General features: G+C 41.3%; 1 long non-coding RNA gene across 4 annotated transcripts in view, besides 1 other annotated feature; it reads right to left on the reverse strand.

Annotated features, from left to right (window-relative positions):
• The window catches only part of MIR100HG (mir-100-let-7a-2-mir-125b-1 cluster host gene), a 394,543-nt gene that overhangs the window by 197,190 nt on the left and 179,840 nt on the right, over positions 1-17,513 (reverse strand). The gene's annotated exons all lie outside the window — the stretch shown is intronic.
• Positions 4,331-5,161: an enhancer, noted in NCBI's record as "H3K27ac-H3K4me1 hESC enhancer chr11:122100557-122101387 (GRCh37/hg19 assembly coordinates)". NCBI's record gives its function as "activates a minimal SCP1, AML or CMV promoter by ChIP-STARR-seq in naive H9 embryonic stem cells {active_cell/tissue: H9 hESC(naive)}" and the evidence as "EXISTENCE:reporter gene assay evidence [ECO:0000049][PMID:30033119]".

Genomic DNA, 17,513 nt, shown 5'->3' on the forward strand with positions numbered 1-17,513 from the left:
TCATACTCATCTAAAATGAATTTCTATGTCACCACATAGATCAATAACATTTCTATGAACTAATTCAGTACAAAAATATTATTCTGCCTTAAGAGTATCTGCTCTCTCTCTCTTGTTCCCTCTCCCTCTCTTTCATTTCTCTGTCTGTCTGTCTACCTATGAGACAGAGCTCAGTATTGTCTCTTTTATACCACAAACTCCAAAAGGGTAGAAACTCTACGCATCAAAAATCATGTTATTCTGGCGTGCATATGGAAAATAAGTGCAAAATAAATGCTTTGTGATGATGAATCTGCAAATATGTTGATGCTTTATTTGCATATTGCCATAGATGCTGAATGTATAATTTGTGCATTATGCCAATTTAAGGGAGTGGGGGCTGCGCTGTGTTGTGTTTTGCACATTTTTTAAATGCAAAAACACCAGAGCAATAAATTAAACATTTTAATTAAGTGTTGTAGCATACTGCTAGTAGAATTCACTGTTACATGGCTCCGATAACTGTGTGTCAAATAATGTCCTTATTACACATCTGCATTTACTACAAGCATGACAGAACATGGTTAGCCTATATCTGGTCAACTTTCATTGTGTCCCTCAACCAGAATGATAAATATTGTCAAATACAATCACCTACATTTAGTGCCTAGTTATTTCGTGCCAGGTACTAAGTGCTTTACATGGAAGATTTCATTGAATGTTCACACAGACCTTAAATAGTTGATGTTATTATTAGCTCCATTTTACAGATGAGAAAACTGAGGCTTCAGTTAAGTAAACATGGTCAAGACCATGTGATAAGTAATTAGGGAGTAAGAATTTAACTTAGGTCGAGCAGAGTGAGCTCTTAAAATGAGCCCATTATTTCTTAAGTTTCCTTTCAATGTGAGCAATGAAATAAGTGAATGTCATGTGATAGAAAACGAAGAACGAAAGAACAAAATCTAGAGTATGGAAGATCCTACCCCACAATGGTTATCTGTAGGAATCACCAACTGGAAATTCACCCTACCTCTCTTTCAGTGGTGTGATGGTCAACGTTCACCATGCCGCTCTCCAGGGAAGAAAAAGTCCTGATTTGTAGCATTTGCAGATTTCCGTGTTGCAAACACTCTCACCAACCTTCCATTACTAAAGGTGGAGTTAGGAAGAGATCACACACACAACTGGTTTGCATGAGCTGCTGAGAGCCAGCTCCAGGATACCACAGTGCCTGTTCCCTTCTGAAGATGAAATTTCTCATCGTCTCTGGACATACCCCAGAGACCTTGGACCATGGAGAAGATACTTACCTTTTTCTGTGGGAGGAGCCAGTGCATGGAGGAAGCGTGGTGCTCAACTGTCTACATCAGAGTGCTGGAATGTACATGTCACCAGGCTATTTTTCATTAAAAAGTGATGACAGCTAAATATATTCCCTGACTCTGCGGCTAATAACTTCCTGACTTAGACCTCACTTGCTAGACCCATTCCTGAAACCAGACCGCACTAGTCCCTGTGGGGCTTCTATTATTGGTGAGCCATCTCAACAGATGCAGGTCTAACCAAATCCATGTCTAATATAAGCATGCAAATTGGGAGATGAAAGGGAAAATTTTATGTGCTGAATCACAATCCACAGAGAGAGAAGTAGGGGCATAAGCAGCTGCCTGGAAGACAGGACACCAAAAGTCATTGTCATAGAGGTCCTAAGCAGCACAGGGTTCATTCCGTCCAGCCATCATTCATAGCTATGCCCTTTGAATATTCATCTCTCACATTAAAAATATTTGCCTGGCTACCCTGTTATGAAGGCAGTATGTGTATATCAAAGCATGGTTTTTGCAGTGAGACACACATGAAGCATTTTATCTGCATTTTAATACCATTTAATCCTCACTATTATTATGCCCATTTTACAGCTAGGAGAACTGAGTCACAAGGACACAAGTGGAAGTTCTTGAATTAAAACCAAAATAAGCCTAATTCTAACAGCTGAGCTCTTTGCCAATTTATTTTAAGTCTCATTTCCCTGCTGACCAACTCTCCCTTCGTCTTGCTTCAAAAACCACACTAATTTCTTCTTCTCCTATTTTCTTTTTTTTTTTCTGAGACAGGGTCTCACTCCCATCACCCAGGCTGGAGTGCAGTGGCATGATCATGGCTCACTGCAGCCTCGACTTCCTGGGCTCAGGTGATTGTCCCACCTCAGCCTCCCGAGTAGCTGGAACTACAGGTGCATGCCACCACACCCGGCTTTTTTTCTTTTTTTTCTTTTTAGTAGAGACTGGGATCTTGACATATTGCCCAGGCTGGTCTCAAACTCCTGGGCTCAAGCGATCCACCTCTCTCAGCCTCCCACAGTGCTATGATTACAGGCAAGAGCCACAGCACCAGGCCTATTTCTTCTTTTAAGAGCTTGCCAAATGCTACTATCTTAACTTGGAACTTCTCCCCACCTCCATCCCTTAAACCTATCCAAGTTCTAGCCACGCTTTAAGGCTCTAGTAGGAAAGTCTCAACTTTCCTGTAATGTTTTCTCAGATGATTCTAACCCAGGTAGACATCCCACTCATATTACATGTACTGCCTCTGTTGGCATTAATTTGGCGTTGCCTCAGTTGTACCATTTCATAACTTGTTTGGCTTATTTTCTGACCTAATGCGCAAATTGTCAAGGGCAGAAACCATGTGTAGACCTCATAATGCTAAGTTCTAAGTAGATACTAAAAATTTTTTTAATGAATGAATAATACTGATACCATAGGTCTATTGATGGACTGAAGCTCTGAATATTCTAGAACTGGGAGGAAGATTCAACATTTTTGAAGGCTTACTACGTGCTAAGCCCTAAGTTAGGCATTTTATACAATGATTTTATTTAAACCTATATGGCTGATATTGTGACTTCCATTTTACAGATTTTTTAAAAGGTCCAGAGAGGTTAAGAAATTTGCTAACACAGGGCTGGGTGTGGTGGCTCATGCCTGTAATCCCAGCACTTTGGGAGGCCGAGGCGGGCAAATCACGAGGTCAGGAGTTCGAGACCAGCATGGCCAACATGGTAAAACCCCGTCCCTACTAAAAATACAAAAAATTAGCTGGGTGTGGTGGTGGGCGCCTGTAATCCCAGCTACTTGGGAGGCTGAGGCAGGAAAATCACTTAAATCTGGGAGGCGGAGGTTGCAGTGAGCCAAGATCATGCCACTGCACTCCAGCCCAGGAGATAGTGTGAGGCTCTGTCTCAAAGAAAAGGAAATTTGCTAACACGTTATTAGATTGTGGCAGAGCTACGACTTAAATGTAGACTAGTCTGACTCCAAAGCCCGCACCACACAGCCACATGGGTCATCACTGCATCTGTGAACGAGTTAACCTACACAAACCCCAGGGGACGGGGATCGTAGCTAGCCCAGAAAGAAATGACAAATGGTCACTTGGTAATACATTCTAGGTTCTGTTAACTCTAATATTCAGAAAGTTGTTCTTCATGTCTGACTTAATTCTCTCCTGCTTCCATTTCATGCCATTTCCCCTTGTTTTGTAGTCAAGCATATGGAAAACATCTGGCTACCATTTCCTAGACACCACTCCTTCTTGGTCTAAAAAATTCCTGTGGTAGCAGCTCAACTTTATTTTGTGTCATCTAAAATATAGCCACACACCTTTTAGAGTGTAGGTTGTCCTAACTGATAGGCTTTCCTACCCAGGCAGAATTATAGCTGTCAGCAGGGAAAATGAGTGAGAGCTACTGGCAGGATGAGCTAATCCGTGGTCAGATGCTCTTGGATCAAAGATTCATGCTGAAACCAGCCGTCAGAGCAAAGAAGCCAAGTTCATGGATGAAAAAAAAATGAGGCTGGGAAGCACAATGCACCCCAGTGACCTACCATTACCACTGGCCTCAAAATAGCCTTGGAGCCAGGATAGGGGGTGGGAGAATATAGAAACCAGGCAAGTAGGCCATGGCAGAGATTAATTTGGGGAAACCAAGGATGGGCAGACAGCCCCCATCCCCTGGCATCTGGGGAACAAGGGCAGCTGTACAGGAAACATAAAAACACAGTGGAGACCAGAGGAGGGGAGTCAAATGAGAATGCTAAATGTTTGGAACCCAGTGGCTAAGAAAGACGTTGCCAAGTGTCACACTGAAAACAGGAAAGCTTTCCTGGGCCCTGGGTGTGGAGGCCACCGAACAATGAAAGGGGAAGCCTGTAAGAAGAATAACAATGACACGGAAGCCTGCTCCAGCCTGGTGAAATCCCTTCTGCAGTTTTTACAAGAAGCAAAACAAACAACAGTCTGACCCCTCGGCTCGCCCCCGACGCCACACCCCCTCCTCAGTCCGCATGTTGGGTCAGGAAGGGCAGTGGTGTGGCCAGATCCATGAAAGGGATTCTAAGAACAAAGCCTGTGCCGTTTACCTGCAGATCAAAGTTTGCCGTTAATAACATGTGTGTTGGAGAGGGCAGAGAGAGGACCGTTGCCCCTGCATTCCATTAAAAAGGGATTATGGGCTGTCTGACCAGGTAAGCAGTGTGATCTGTGAACAGAAACTTGTCCTTTGGAAGTGGGGCTGTGGCAAAACAAAAGCCTTAGGAGACGTAATCAGCAACCGTTCACTGCAGCAGGGCGGGTGGCGCGGTGTCTGTGTTTGTGCCTGTGTGCAAGGGCATGTGCGATATTTTCTGCTGTTGCTAAGATGGGTTCCCCCTTCACTGGCCTCTCGCCCAATCGAAAGGTAGCTGCTCCTCATTGGCTGCCTGGCTTTATCGAATGACCATGACGAGCTGGAGCGAAGCCCACCTCATTGGCTTATTCCTATGGCCATTGTCAGGGGAGAGCAAATCAGACACCTAATCAATATTTTGTGAAGTGGCACTAGACTCTTGGCTAAATTTGCATTAAATTTCTCCCTGTCTGTGCCTTTGCACTCAGATAAGCATCATATTAACTTCGGGGATAGAGAGAGAGACGAGCAATCAAACACTGTCATCCTTCAGCCATTTTGGATGAATCTCTGAGTCTTGGCAAAAATCTTGGAGTGCCGAGCGTGCAACAGAGAAATTAGTCATAAACAGATGCAAACCTCCCGAGCAGAGACATATTTAACTAGGCTAGATTAGTGGTGGCCCTTCTAGACAAAAACTGATTTACTTCCTTCCTTCTTCTTTCCTTCCTTCCTTCCTTCCTATATTCATTCAACAATTATTTATTGCACACCTATTCTGAGTCAGGTTCTTCGATGGCCCCGGATATATCACTGTGCCAGGCAAGAAATATTTCCCTGCTAGGTCTTTCAGGGTGCTAAAGGGCCGGGGTTCATCACATGGTAAATTACCTGGCTCTTGAAGAAAAGAGAGGGGGCTCTGATCATCATCCATGGAACGAGATGGAACCGAAGTCCCACAGATGAAAGTCTCCTGAGTAGGCACAGATTCTGAATGAAAAACTGGCCTAGTAACTGGAGTTCCCCAGAATTCAACATGAATGTCAGTTAAAATGTGGATAGGTAGTGGTCCTGAGGAAGAGAAAAAAATGGATGTGAATACATTTCCTGTCTTTCAGAGAAAACCAGGAAAGAAATTCCACATGCCCTCTACCTCCCATCACTAAGCAGCTAAGCTATACCTGCACCCCTGCCCTCTGCGCTCCTTCCTGTTGGAACAAACAACGAGGCGTGTTTCTATCAAAATCAACGCTTTGGCTTGTGTACAAGTCCCAGCGCCATTCGCCCACTCAAGCATCTCCTGTCATTCTCACCTTGTTCTCTTACATCATCAAATTTTCAATCTTCCCCTCTCATCATCATTAAAAAATGCTGCAATATCCCTCATCTTTAAAAATAAAGATAATTAAAAAAAACACACACACAACTCTTTATAGATCCAAGGCTGATGTTCAGCCAGCGCCCATGAGCACTATTATGGTGATTGCTAAAATACTGAAAGAATTCTGGATGGGTTGGTGAGCACTGCTACCCTGAGCCTCCCGAGTATCTGCCTCTGACCTTTTCCAACCTAGCCTCTTCCCTGGGACCTCCTGGACAGCCTATAATCCAGAAACCAAAAGGTTAATGCCAGGACCAGCAAAGTCCTCCAAGACCCTGCTCCAGACCTATAGGCAGCATCCCTTCTGACTGCTCAGTGCCCATGCCATAGTTATTCTAATAGCATCCCTGCTTAGACACGGCATTTTCTTCGAGTCATTCCCTCTTCCCCTCGCCACTACTTTCCTCTCCTTTAGAGTAAAACCCCTGGAAGAGTTGTCTATCCTGTCTCCATTTATCTTTTTTTCTTTTTTGAACCCATTTCAACCAGATTATGTTTCCAATCTCTCCAGCATCACTTTTCTCAAGGTTATCAAGGAAACCTCCACTTTGCCAAATCCAAAGATCAGGCCTCAGTCCTCATCTTATTTGGCTTACTAGTGTCATTTGACACAGCTGACCAATTCCTTTTCCTTAAAACATCTTTTTTTGTTACTTTCTTTCCTTGTCTCTGAGACGCCACTTTCTCCTGGCTCTCCTTCTTTCCGTCGGTCTGCCTTTTGCTCTCCTTTTCTGGTTCCGTCTCACCATCCTGGTCCCTAAGGCTGAAGCTCTCTAGGGCCCAGTCTCTGGAATCTCATCTATTTTCCTCTCTGCATTCACTCTTTGGGTGATCTCTTCTAGTCCCTTGACACTGAATACCATCTATATGCCAATGATTGTCAAATTTCTATTTCCTGCACCAACATTTCTACACTCATAATCCAATTGTCACTCTGCGCCTTCACTTGAATATATAATATACATCTCAAATTTAAGTTGTGTAGAACTGCGCCCTTGCTATTCCCATCAAAACTTCTTTTTCTTGCCCCTGGTCTTCATCTTAGAAAGTGACAACATCATTTTTCCTATTGCTGAGGCCAAAATCCTTGGAGTCAGCCTTGACTCCTCTCTTTTCTCTCACACCAAACTATAATCTACCAGTAAATTCTGAAGCCCTACCCTCAAATCAGACCCAGAATCTAACGATTTATCACCACCTCCCACCACAGCCATTTAAGTCCAAACCACTATCATGTGTCTCCTTTATTAATGCCATGATGATGCAAAGGTTTCCCTGCTGTCAGCCCGGCCCCTTTTACAATCTCTTCTTTGCACATTGGCTGAATAAGTCTCTTCAAGTAAATTTAGTTCATTATACTCCTTTGCTCAGAGTTTCCAAATGGGTTTCATCTCGCCTAGAATAAAATTCAAAGTCTATACACTACAGTTAGACACTAAATGGAGCCCACACATTATTAGCTGGGTTCCGGCTTTGCTCCACAGTGTGGCCATCTTCCAAATATGTTATTCATCACAAGGAAGACTGGGTAAGAATATGAATGTTTTATTATGCAAATCTAAAAATAAAACAAACAAAAACAAAATATTTGTTACAAAGTTAAATCTTAATGATGGTCCCTTATGAACTTCAACTTTTTATTTAAGGGCACTATATTGCCTTAATGTGCATTAAAATGATTTCATTTTGTCTCCATTCATACCATGAGCTGAAATTAAATTATGTCTAATTGTCAGTGTACATAGTGGGCAGTATTGAATCAACAAATGCTTAGAAAATGACCTTTTTTTTTTTGAGACTGGTTCTCACTCTATCATCAAGGCCAGAGTGCAGTGGAGCGGAGCAATCATGACTCACTGCAGCCTTGACTTCCTAGGCTCAAGCGATCCTCCCACATCAGCCTCCAGAGTAGCTGGGACTACAGGCATGAACCATCACATCTGGTTAATTTTTGTATTTTTGTAGAGATGGGGTTTTGCCATGTTGCCCAGGTTGGTCTTGAATTCCTGGGCTCGAGCAATCTGCCCATCTCAGCCTCCCAAAGTGCTGGGATCGCAGGTGTGAGCCACTGGACTTCTTATTAATTACCTGTGAGGATGATAATGATAATCATAAATTGAATATTCCTGGGTAAGTTATGGCATTTTATGTATTTAAATTACATATATTTCCAACAACTTTATCTCCATTCTAAAGGTGCAGCCACAGTTTTGTGGCTCAGAAAATTTGATGCCTTAATCAAGGTATAGTACTTGCTATGGTAAGTAACACAGTTTGAGAGCAATGGTCTGTGTGGCTTCAATGTTTGTGCTTTTGCAATAGCCATATCATGGTGAACCATTTACAGATGTAATACTTTTGTCTTTATCATGCTATCATCATTATTATCTCAACAAACTCTAAGGATCACTGACAAGTGAGAAGCTGATACTGCTGTCCTTGGTCTATGAATGAGTATGCTGAGCTCCAAAGAGCCTCAAGCTCAAGTAAGAAGAAAACCCCAGTCCTCTGTTCCCCTCTCCCAGTATGTTTCCCCTAGTGTCTCATGCTACTTTACCCATATTTTTCTTAGCTAAGTGAGTGAATTGGACCTATTTACCCTTAGAGTTCCAGAACAGATTTCCTAGAATCTATCAGTTTGCAGGTCACCTTTTTCATATACCATGCTTTACAATGCCAATTCCCCATCTGCCAGAACATAAGCCTTCTTTCTGAAGATGCTCTCAAGCCCATGGGGAGCTGAGCTCAAATGTACTAATTTTCTGATGTCAAATTCCAATCAGGTGTTTGTTTTTAATATGAAAAAGAAACTAGACAAATTCAAAACTGTGCACATGCACTTGTATATTCTGACATAATCCAATAAAGAACAACTTCCTATGTGGTGGAGAATCTCCTAGATTTCATATTATTTTTTGAGAATTTAGTTTTTATGAACTAATCATGACTTACCCCTGTTTGCACCAAATATGCCCCTTTTGTCAATAGCCTCTGTGTTGAATGATTCTTCTGTCCTTGGTCCAGGGAAGAACCAAGGAGGGAGAATCCTATTGAGGAATCAGAACAATGGAGTGACATTGTGTAGCCTCTGCCACAAGAAGGCTGATCTTCTAGGTCACATAAATATGAAGCCCCAGCTGGCCAAGTGAATCAGGATACAAGTATAGCTATTAGGAGATGCATGTCTTAGTTTCACTTCTCTAAAGAAAACAGAAATTCATACAAAGCTCTGCCATAGGGTCAACTTCATGGGTTGAATAAATGAATGAATGGTCATTCAGTCATTCAACAAGTACACCTGCTGTTTTCAAGTCACTGCTGTCAGTGTTACGAAGAGAAATCCTTTTTAAAGTTCTTCATTGTATGTACAAGTTATATATAAAGAGTCACTTTGACTGAATGTTGCTGCTAGATACTTCAGCACTTGGATACCTGCACATTCTGCTGAAGGAAACTCACCCTGGGACAATCAGGGTTAGAGAAGCAATGGTATAGTAACACATCCATTTAGTACAGTCCGCAGAAATAATTTTAACACATATGAAACACAACCATGTCTAATGAAGAAAGTAAACCTCTTTTAAATGAATTGCTAATATTATAGTCTACTTAGAATAAATATTTTCAGACAAAGACAAGCCCAGTGGTTGCACAAGCTAAGCAAGCCCAGCTTATTGTCCAGGAATTTAAATAAGTGCATTTTTTAAAGGTATGCTAATTCTGAGTTGGTTTATTAAAATTAATCTTGGAGATGATTTTTCAGCAATCAATGAATTTCTTTAAGACGAGTTATACCGTTGAGATATAATAGTCAGATGCTGTCACATTCATAGTTAACAAGCTTTCTTCTAAGTATTTTTCATGTGTGTGATCTGTGATCATAAGATTCCTGAGGGCAGAATTACAGTTACTCTTTCAAAGAGGAGTAGCTTCTTATCCTCCAATGTTTTATCAGTGCTGAGTACAGAAAGGACTCTTGTACAAAGTTCAAAACAGAAATAGACGGTCTCACTAACAGGAATACTTATATGGACTAGAAAAAGGTAACCATGACACCAGAGACCAAGGGCATCTATAATACAATGGGGACCTACCAATTCACATGATTCAGAGGGAAAAGAAACTGGGCAGGTCTGGCTTGCTTCTCTTGGTACCTCCATGAAATCTGCAGGGCTCTGCAAAGAACAGTTTGAAGACCACGGATATAGCCTACCTTCTAATTTCTCAAAAAGAGAAACTGAGACCAAGAAAGGCAAAATGGCTTCTCCAAAATTATATAACCAACTGTTACTGAGCTGAAATTAGTTTCCTGTTTCCCAAGACAGTACTTTTCCTCATCCCAGACTCATCTCAATTTCAGAGTTTACTGCAGCCTCCCTCCAGCAACCTTTCCTCTCTATTTCAGGCAACCAGAGCAAGCCAGGTTGGGACTGAGCCACCCAAAGCCATTTGTCAGTGCCAGTCTCCCACTGGGCAATGCTAACCCCAGCATCTGGTCCTGGTTTCTAGCACTTACGCTGTCGTGATTAAAGAGTTGACATATGTAAACAAACCATAACTTAAGCACAACATGGTCAGTGAGTAGAGCCCAAACGTGGATGAGTGCTGACTCATAAGTTAAGAAGGAGCCAGTTTAGAAATTTCTAGTCTTGTTTTTCTCTTGTGACAGGTATATAAATATTGCAATTGCTACAGACAGCTTTTTTTTGTGCTTTACATTGATTTTTATTTTATTATTATTTTTTTCTTTCCAATGTTTAGGTTCAGGGGTACATGTGCAGGTTTGTTACATGGGTTTATTGTGTGTTGTGGGGGTTTAGTGTACAGGTTGTTTCATCATACATATATATATGTGTGTGTGTGTATATATATATATCCTATAGATATATATATCCTATTTTATACATATATATCCTGTAAGTCTGTACCTCTAGAGAACCCTAATACAATGTGATATACCACATAAACAGAATTAAAAACAAAAATCACATGATCATCTCAATAGATGCAGAAACAGCATTTGATAAAATGCAGCATCCCTTTATGATTAAAACTCTCACCAAACTCTCTGGTACCAAGCCTAGTACCCAATAGATAGTTTTTTGATCTTCACCATCCTTCCACCCTCCACACTCAAGTAGGCCCCATGTCTATTGTTCCCTTTTGTGTGTCCATGTGTATTTAATGTTTAGCTCTCACTTATAAGTGAGAATATGTGGTATTAGGTTTTCTGTTCTAGCGTGAGTTTGCTTAGGATAACGGCCTCCAGCTCCTTCCATGTTGCTGCAAAGGACATGATTTCATTCTTTTTTTATGGCTGCATACTATTTAATAGTACATATGTATCACATTTTCTTTATCCAGTCCACTGTTGCTGGACATCTAGGTTCATTCTATTTAACCTTTGCTATTGTGAATAGTGCTACAATGAGCACACATGTGCATGTGGCCTTATGGTAGAACAATTTATATTCCTGTGAGAATATATATAATAATGGGATTGTTGGGTTGAATAAAGTTCTATTTTAAGTTCTTTGAGAAACCCACAAATTGCTTTCCACAGACAGCTTCTTGTAATTCTTACGCTCAAATATTTCTTAACCCCATAGCAAGTTTAACAAAATGTATTCTACCCCATTTTGACTAAGTAGGACTTTTTGAGGGCCAGTAGGCTGGAGTTACTTTCAGATTTGAATCAGGTCTTGATTACTCAGTGGGACATGCCAGGGCCAGCATGGTGAGAAAACTCTTTGGGACTCTTTTCAGGTCACCAAAATAATCTTATTTGCTGAGAGTGTACATAATTTTACTGGCTCTCTTCTTGGGACAGACACCATTTTGTGTGGCCACACTCAGACAATATGTGACACAAGATTGAAAGATCCACAGCAACATCAGCAGCATAATCTGAGAGATGTGCTGTTTTCCTCTGTTGCTGAAATCTGGTTGCGTTATTTTGTTTGACTAACAAGTTGTATTTCCCACTTTGTGAAACAAGCTAGAGCCTCGCCATTCAAATTGTGGTCAAGTGCATTAGCAGAACCTGGGAATTGGTTAGATAGGTAGACTCCCAAGCTTCATAGAATCAGACTCACTCAATCAGAATCTGCATTTTAACAAGATGCCCAGTTGATCTGTAAGCACATTAAATTTGAGAAGCACTGATCTAGAGATAAAGACCATGATCCTCTGGCTTCACCATGAGCTCCATCTATAAAATTTCAGTTAGTGGACCACGTTGGTTTTGGACAGTTAAATAGAGAAGAAAAACAAATCCAAAGCTTCCTTAAAGTGAATTCTCTTTTTGCCCCAGCAGGTTTATCACTTTCATCTTTTCCTTTAAGAGCTGTTGGAGAATGATAATGTTTGATGTTGTACCACCATTCAAATCTCATCTTGAATTGTAATCCCATAATCCCCATGTGACATGGGAGGGACCCAGTGGGAGGTAATTGAATCGTGGAGGTCTTTTCCACCCATGCTGTTCTCATGATAGTGAGTGAGTTCTCATGAGATCTGATGGTTTTATAAGGGGCCTCCCCCTTCACCCAGCACTCATTCTCTCTCCTGCTGCCCTGTGAAGAAGTGCCTGGTGCCATGATTGTAAGTTTCCCGAGGCCTCCCCAGCCATGTGGAACTGTGAATCAATTAAACCTCTTTTCCTTATAAATTACTTAGTCACAGGCAGTTCTTTATAGCAGCATGAAAATGAACTAATATAGAGAATAATTTTTTTGAATCACCAATGAGGACTTGAAGGAGGTTATACATCGTGGATTGTTATAGCTGCTAGTATATATGTTGGCTTTAAATTAAGAGTCATTTTGGCTAGGCACAGTGACTCATGCCTGGAATCCCAGCACTTTGGAAGGCTGAGGCAGATGTATCATATGAGGTCAAGAGTTCTAGACCAGTCTGGCCAACATCTACTAAAAATACAAAAATTGGCCAGGTGTAGTGGTGCATGCCTGTAGTCCCAGATACTTGGGAGGCTTGAGGCACAAGAATCACTTGAACCCAGGAGGTGGAGGTTGTAGTAAGCTGAGATGGCACCACTGCACTCCAGCCTGGGTGACAGAGTGAGACTCTGTTTCGGAAAAAAAAAAAAAAAAAAAAAAGGAGTCTCTCCTTCATTTCTAGACATTCAGTTGGCCACCAAGGCCTTTTGATTTTACCTCCTAAATTGTTTTCTAAACTGAGTACTCCCTTTTGTTCCCACTGCTGTACTTTAGAGCTCATCCTTTCACCTATAAAGTGGATATTAAAACAGTCTTTCAACTGCATGACAGGCCTCCCTATGTCATGTTCTCCTCTCATCTAGTGTGTCTTCCAATCTGTTGTCAGAATATTCTCAAAGGCAGCTCTGATCATATTGAAGTCCACCAATGGTATCTGATAAAGTCAACACCTACAAGTATGTTATGCAAGGTCTTTGGTCATGTTGGTTTTTTCTACCTGCCCAATCCCATTTCTTCTACTTTCCTACTTTTATTCCAACCTCCCAACATACACTCCATGCCTTCCCCTTTGCCCAGGCAGCCTCTCTGCTGGGATTTCTCCTTTTTCTCTCTCTTCCAGATAAACCTCTTCTTCTAAGATCATGTCATGCTTTTTATGTGACGCTCTTCTTGACCATGACTCTCTACCACTAAGGTAGAGTTGACCATCCTCAGAGCCTGATAGCACTTCATACTTGCTCTATAAGCAGTGCTTTCACTGAACTGAAGTGTTGGTAAATGTGTCTATTGTTGTACTAGTCTAGAAGAACTTAGGGCCGGGAACCATGTCATATCTTTCTTTTTTTTTTTTTTTTGTATCTTGAGTATCAAGTACCATTGCTAACATATAGTATATTAACTCTCAATAAATATTGATGAATTAAATAACTAAATGAATATAGTCATTGTGCAAAATAGCTATCCCATTGTCCCTGGGAACTGTGAAAACTATGCAGCCTCCACAGGTCTAGGAACTATTTTCAAAGGATGAATCTTTCAATTTCTCCAATAATGGATATTAAGGAATTGGACTGACGTTAACAGTAAAAATTACCTACATGAGCTCTGCCACTACCATAAAGGAAAACAATCCTATCTCAAATCCTGTATCAAACACCAGATCACCTGTGACATCTAGTGAAGAGCAGAATTATAGCCTAAGGCACAACCATGTTGTGCCCTACCTTCCAGTGACTTGGACTGTTAAAGTGAACACCAGCCACTCTGCCAGATGGTCCTAGAACTCTTTCTCTTGGAGCCTGATGTTGTTGTCAAGAGGGGAAAAAGACAAGGGGCCAGATTAGGTGGAGAGAACAGATCTAAAAATTGGTCTTGGCCTCTGCTCCTCCATATCCCCACAGTGGCGTTCACTGAATCCTCTGATTCAAGCTTAGTTCAGAGGGTCTCCACAAATGATTGGGGCCTTGATCAGGAAAGAATTCAAGAGCCCCAGCCCAACATTCTTTCTCAGAGGTCAAGCTACACTTGCACCCTACCTCCTACCTCATATTCCCCTTCCCTGTTCTTGAGGCCCAGAACCTACCTTATACTCCAGTTTCTGTTGATGAAAGCAGTAATAATAATAATGTGATTTCACATTAATGCAACCTTACTATTTGCCAGGTACCATTCTGGGTGCTGTACACGTATTTACAAGTTTAATCACCACAACATATTGCCTTACTAGGCACTGAATTATACACATTTTACAGATGAGGAAGACAAAGGCACACAAAAGCTTTGTAAGTTGTCTACTTTTTGGTTTCTCCTCATTACGTTGTGCCTAATTACTGCATACTCCATGATGCTGACTGCTGTGGACTGTCTTACCCTTTCGATATTATGCCTTGAACACTTGCGGTTAGACCTGCACACCCATGTCCGCTTCCCCCTTTCCCCTGCCACCTCCTGTCCCCTGCCACCAACTATTACAGATCTACCTGCTTATCCCAGCCCTGTCCTGAATAGGAAAGGAAAAGATAGACTAAAGCTCATTTATTCTCTACTCTATTAATATGGGTGCTTAATTAATGCTGATAGAAGAATTAAACTCAGTAATATGAGTAAAAGGCCTAGTGGTGACAGGCATCCATGGTCTATAATATCTGAATTAAGGCTGAGGAAAGACAAGGCACTATTTGAAAGAATGTGTCATTTTGTAGTATTCTCTTAGACATGCAGATTCCATAAACTCTCCTTATAATAAAACACAGGGCGTCCATTAACAAACTGAAGTATCTACATAGAACAAGAAACAAACCGTCACTGCTCCATTACCTGGGAGAGAGAATCCATGGAAACACCAGACTCAGGATTTTATTTGTCCCTAACGAGCCTTTTCGATGAACTTCACACTCACTTACTCTCACATTTGCATAGTTCAGATAATAACAGCTCTCTATTTCATTCTCAGTGTTGAGGTCAATGTCAGAAAAAGCTGTTTTAGCAACGATTCCCCTTTGCAGTGAGTTCTGGGATCAGGTAGAACAGACAACTTGAAGTGGGAACTGAAACCATCTATTGTGCTGTGCTTGGAGTTCTAAAGCAGATTGCACTTCCAGACACACATATGGTAATTTTAGAGTCCTCTGGAGAACTTTGAGAAACATAGATTAGATTTCATTATCCTACTCCATCCCTTTAAATCAGAATTTCCCAAGTGTGACCTGGGTATCTATCTATATATATATTTATGTATGGATATATAGACAGCTATATATAGAGAGAGCTATATATATATATATATATAGCTAGAATACGTATACTGCACATTGTTGTTAATGTAAATAAATTCTTCCAGAATGATAATATAAGGTTGAGTATGAAAGAATTACCATCTTGGAAGAGCAAGAACATTAATAGCATATATATTCTACTCCAATAATATCAGGAAATGTAAATGAGATACTAATAAACTAAACCAAAAGAATTAGGAACAAGGGAGTGTCCTTAAATACCAAAGAATTCTGATCATGTTGAAATGGGTTCTTCAAAACCTCATAAATGATGACTGCCCCTCAGAGATACTTAATTTGAAAACAGAGGGGAGAAGTGAATGTTTAGCTGACCCCTACCTTAGAGAAACATGTATTAAAAATTCCTAGCTAATAAGAGATTAGGTAGAAATTAGGAGAATGAAGATGGGTTTGAGAGAAGATTCCTGGCAGGATTTTTTATTGTAGTTCATTGACTATCTGGTACATTGAAATAGTAATATATAATTTGCAAATACTTGATAAACATAATTTGCAGAAGAACAAGTTCTACTATCTACTCTATAAAAATAAGCTGATCTCTGGACTAGAAGTTTCCAAGCCCACGAAGGTGAATTTTCAGAAGTCACAACATTGGTCAGATTTTCCTCCCATTTCCTGTCAACTTCTGCCCCAATGTTGGTGACAGCGGTTGCCTGAATCGAAGACATCATCCAAGACAAAGCTTTTATGTGATGCAATGTGCAGGTCTTACACAAGCAGGACCCACAAGGAACTGCAGGAGCTTTGGGTCCTTTTTAACCAAGACAGGTCATTAAAAGAAATGAAAAGATGTCTTCTGGAGGCTTAATTAAGAAAGTTAATTCTAGGCCCCATCATAGCCCCATTAACCTTTCTCTGTTCCTAAAATATCTTATGTAATGTCAAAAAGAAGCAAGGATGGGAAAAGGAGCAGTGTAATTAAACCTACTTAACCTTAAAATGGAAATGTGTCAAGGGATAGAAGCAATTGGTATGAAGCTCCTAACCTGTATTTATGACCCCAAAACCCAGAACCCATAAGCCTCATTTTGCTATGCTCTTCTCACATTTTCTTTGCTATGGTGTTGGACAATTTAGCCTGCTAATTTACTTAGCATGTCTGACCTGAACCATGAGAAGTCAGTTCTGAAAAATGCTGGAAGGGCAGCACTGTCCTGGTACAGGGAACAAATAAATTGCTGGTTTCTATAAAGATTTCTTGTCGCATGGAATATTTCTCAAGATTTTCAAAGTGATGGTTTTCCCTGACCCAGAAACACCTGAGCACCGACTTCCCTCTCCTCGGTCCTGTGAGAATGTGGCCTGGCTGGGGTTGAGTTTGGTTAAGATCCAGGAGAACCTGATGGATGTATTTTCTTCAATAAAAGCACATTGTTGGCCAGGTGCGGTGGCTCACGCCTGTAATCCCAGCATTTTGGGAGGCCGAGGCGGGTGGATCACGAGGTCAGGAGATCGAGACCATCCTGGCTCACACAGTGAAACACCATCTGTACTAAAAATACAAAAAACATTAGCCGGGCATGGTGGCACACACCTGTCATCCCAGCTACCCGGGAGGCTGAGGCAGGAGAATCACTTGAACCCAGGAGGCAGAGGTTGCAGTGAGCCGAGATGGTTCCATTGCACTCCAGCCTGGGTGACAGAGCGAGACTCCATCTCAAAAATAAACGAACAAAAGCACATTGTTGTTAATGTAGATAAATTCTTCCAGAATGATAACATAAGGTTGAGTATGAAAGGGAGGGGCATAGCAAAAATTTAGCTGCCTTGTCAACTCCAGCAGAACCTTGTGAAGGGAGTGTGACCAGCAGGTTCCTTCCCTAGTAGGGAACCATCGCAGGGCCAGGGAACCATCTGGTTGCAGTTGTTTCCGTTCTGCTTAGTCACCTCATTTCCTCCAAGTTCTGTGTCCCAGGCTATATCAGTTAGAAAGAGAGCATTTTCCACCA

Source organism: Homo sapiens, chromosome 11 (assembly GCF_000001405.40).
Source record: "Homo sapiens chromosome 11, GRCh38.p14 Primary Assembly".
Taxonomy (NCBI): domain Eukaryota; kingdom Metazoa; phylum Chordata; class Mammalia; order Primates; family Hominidae; genus Homo; species Homo sapiens.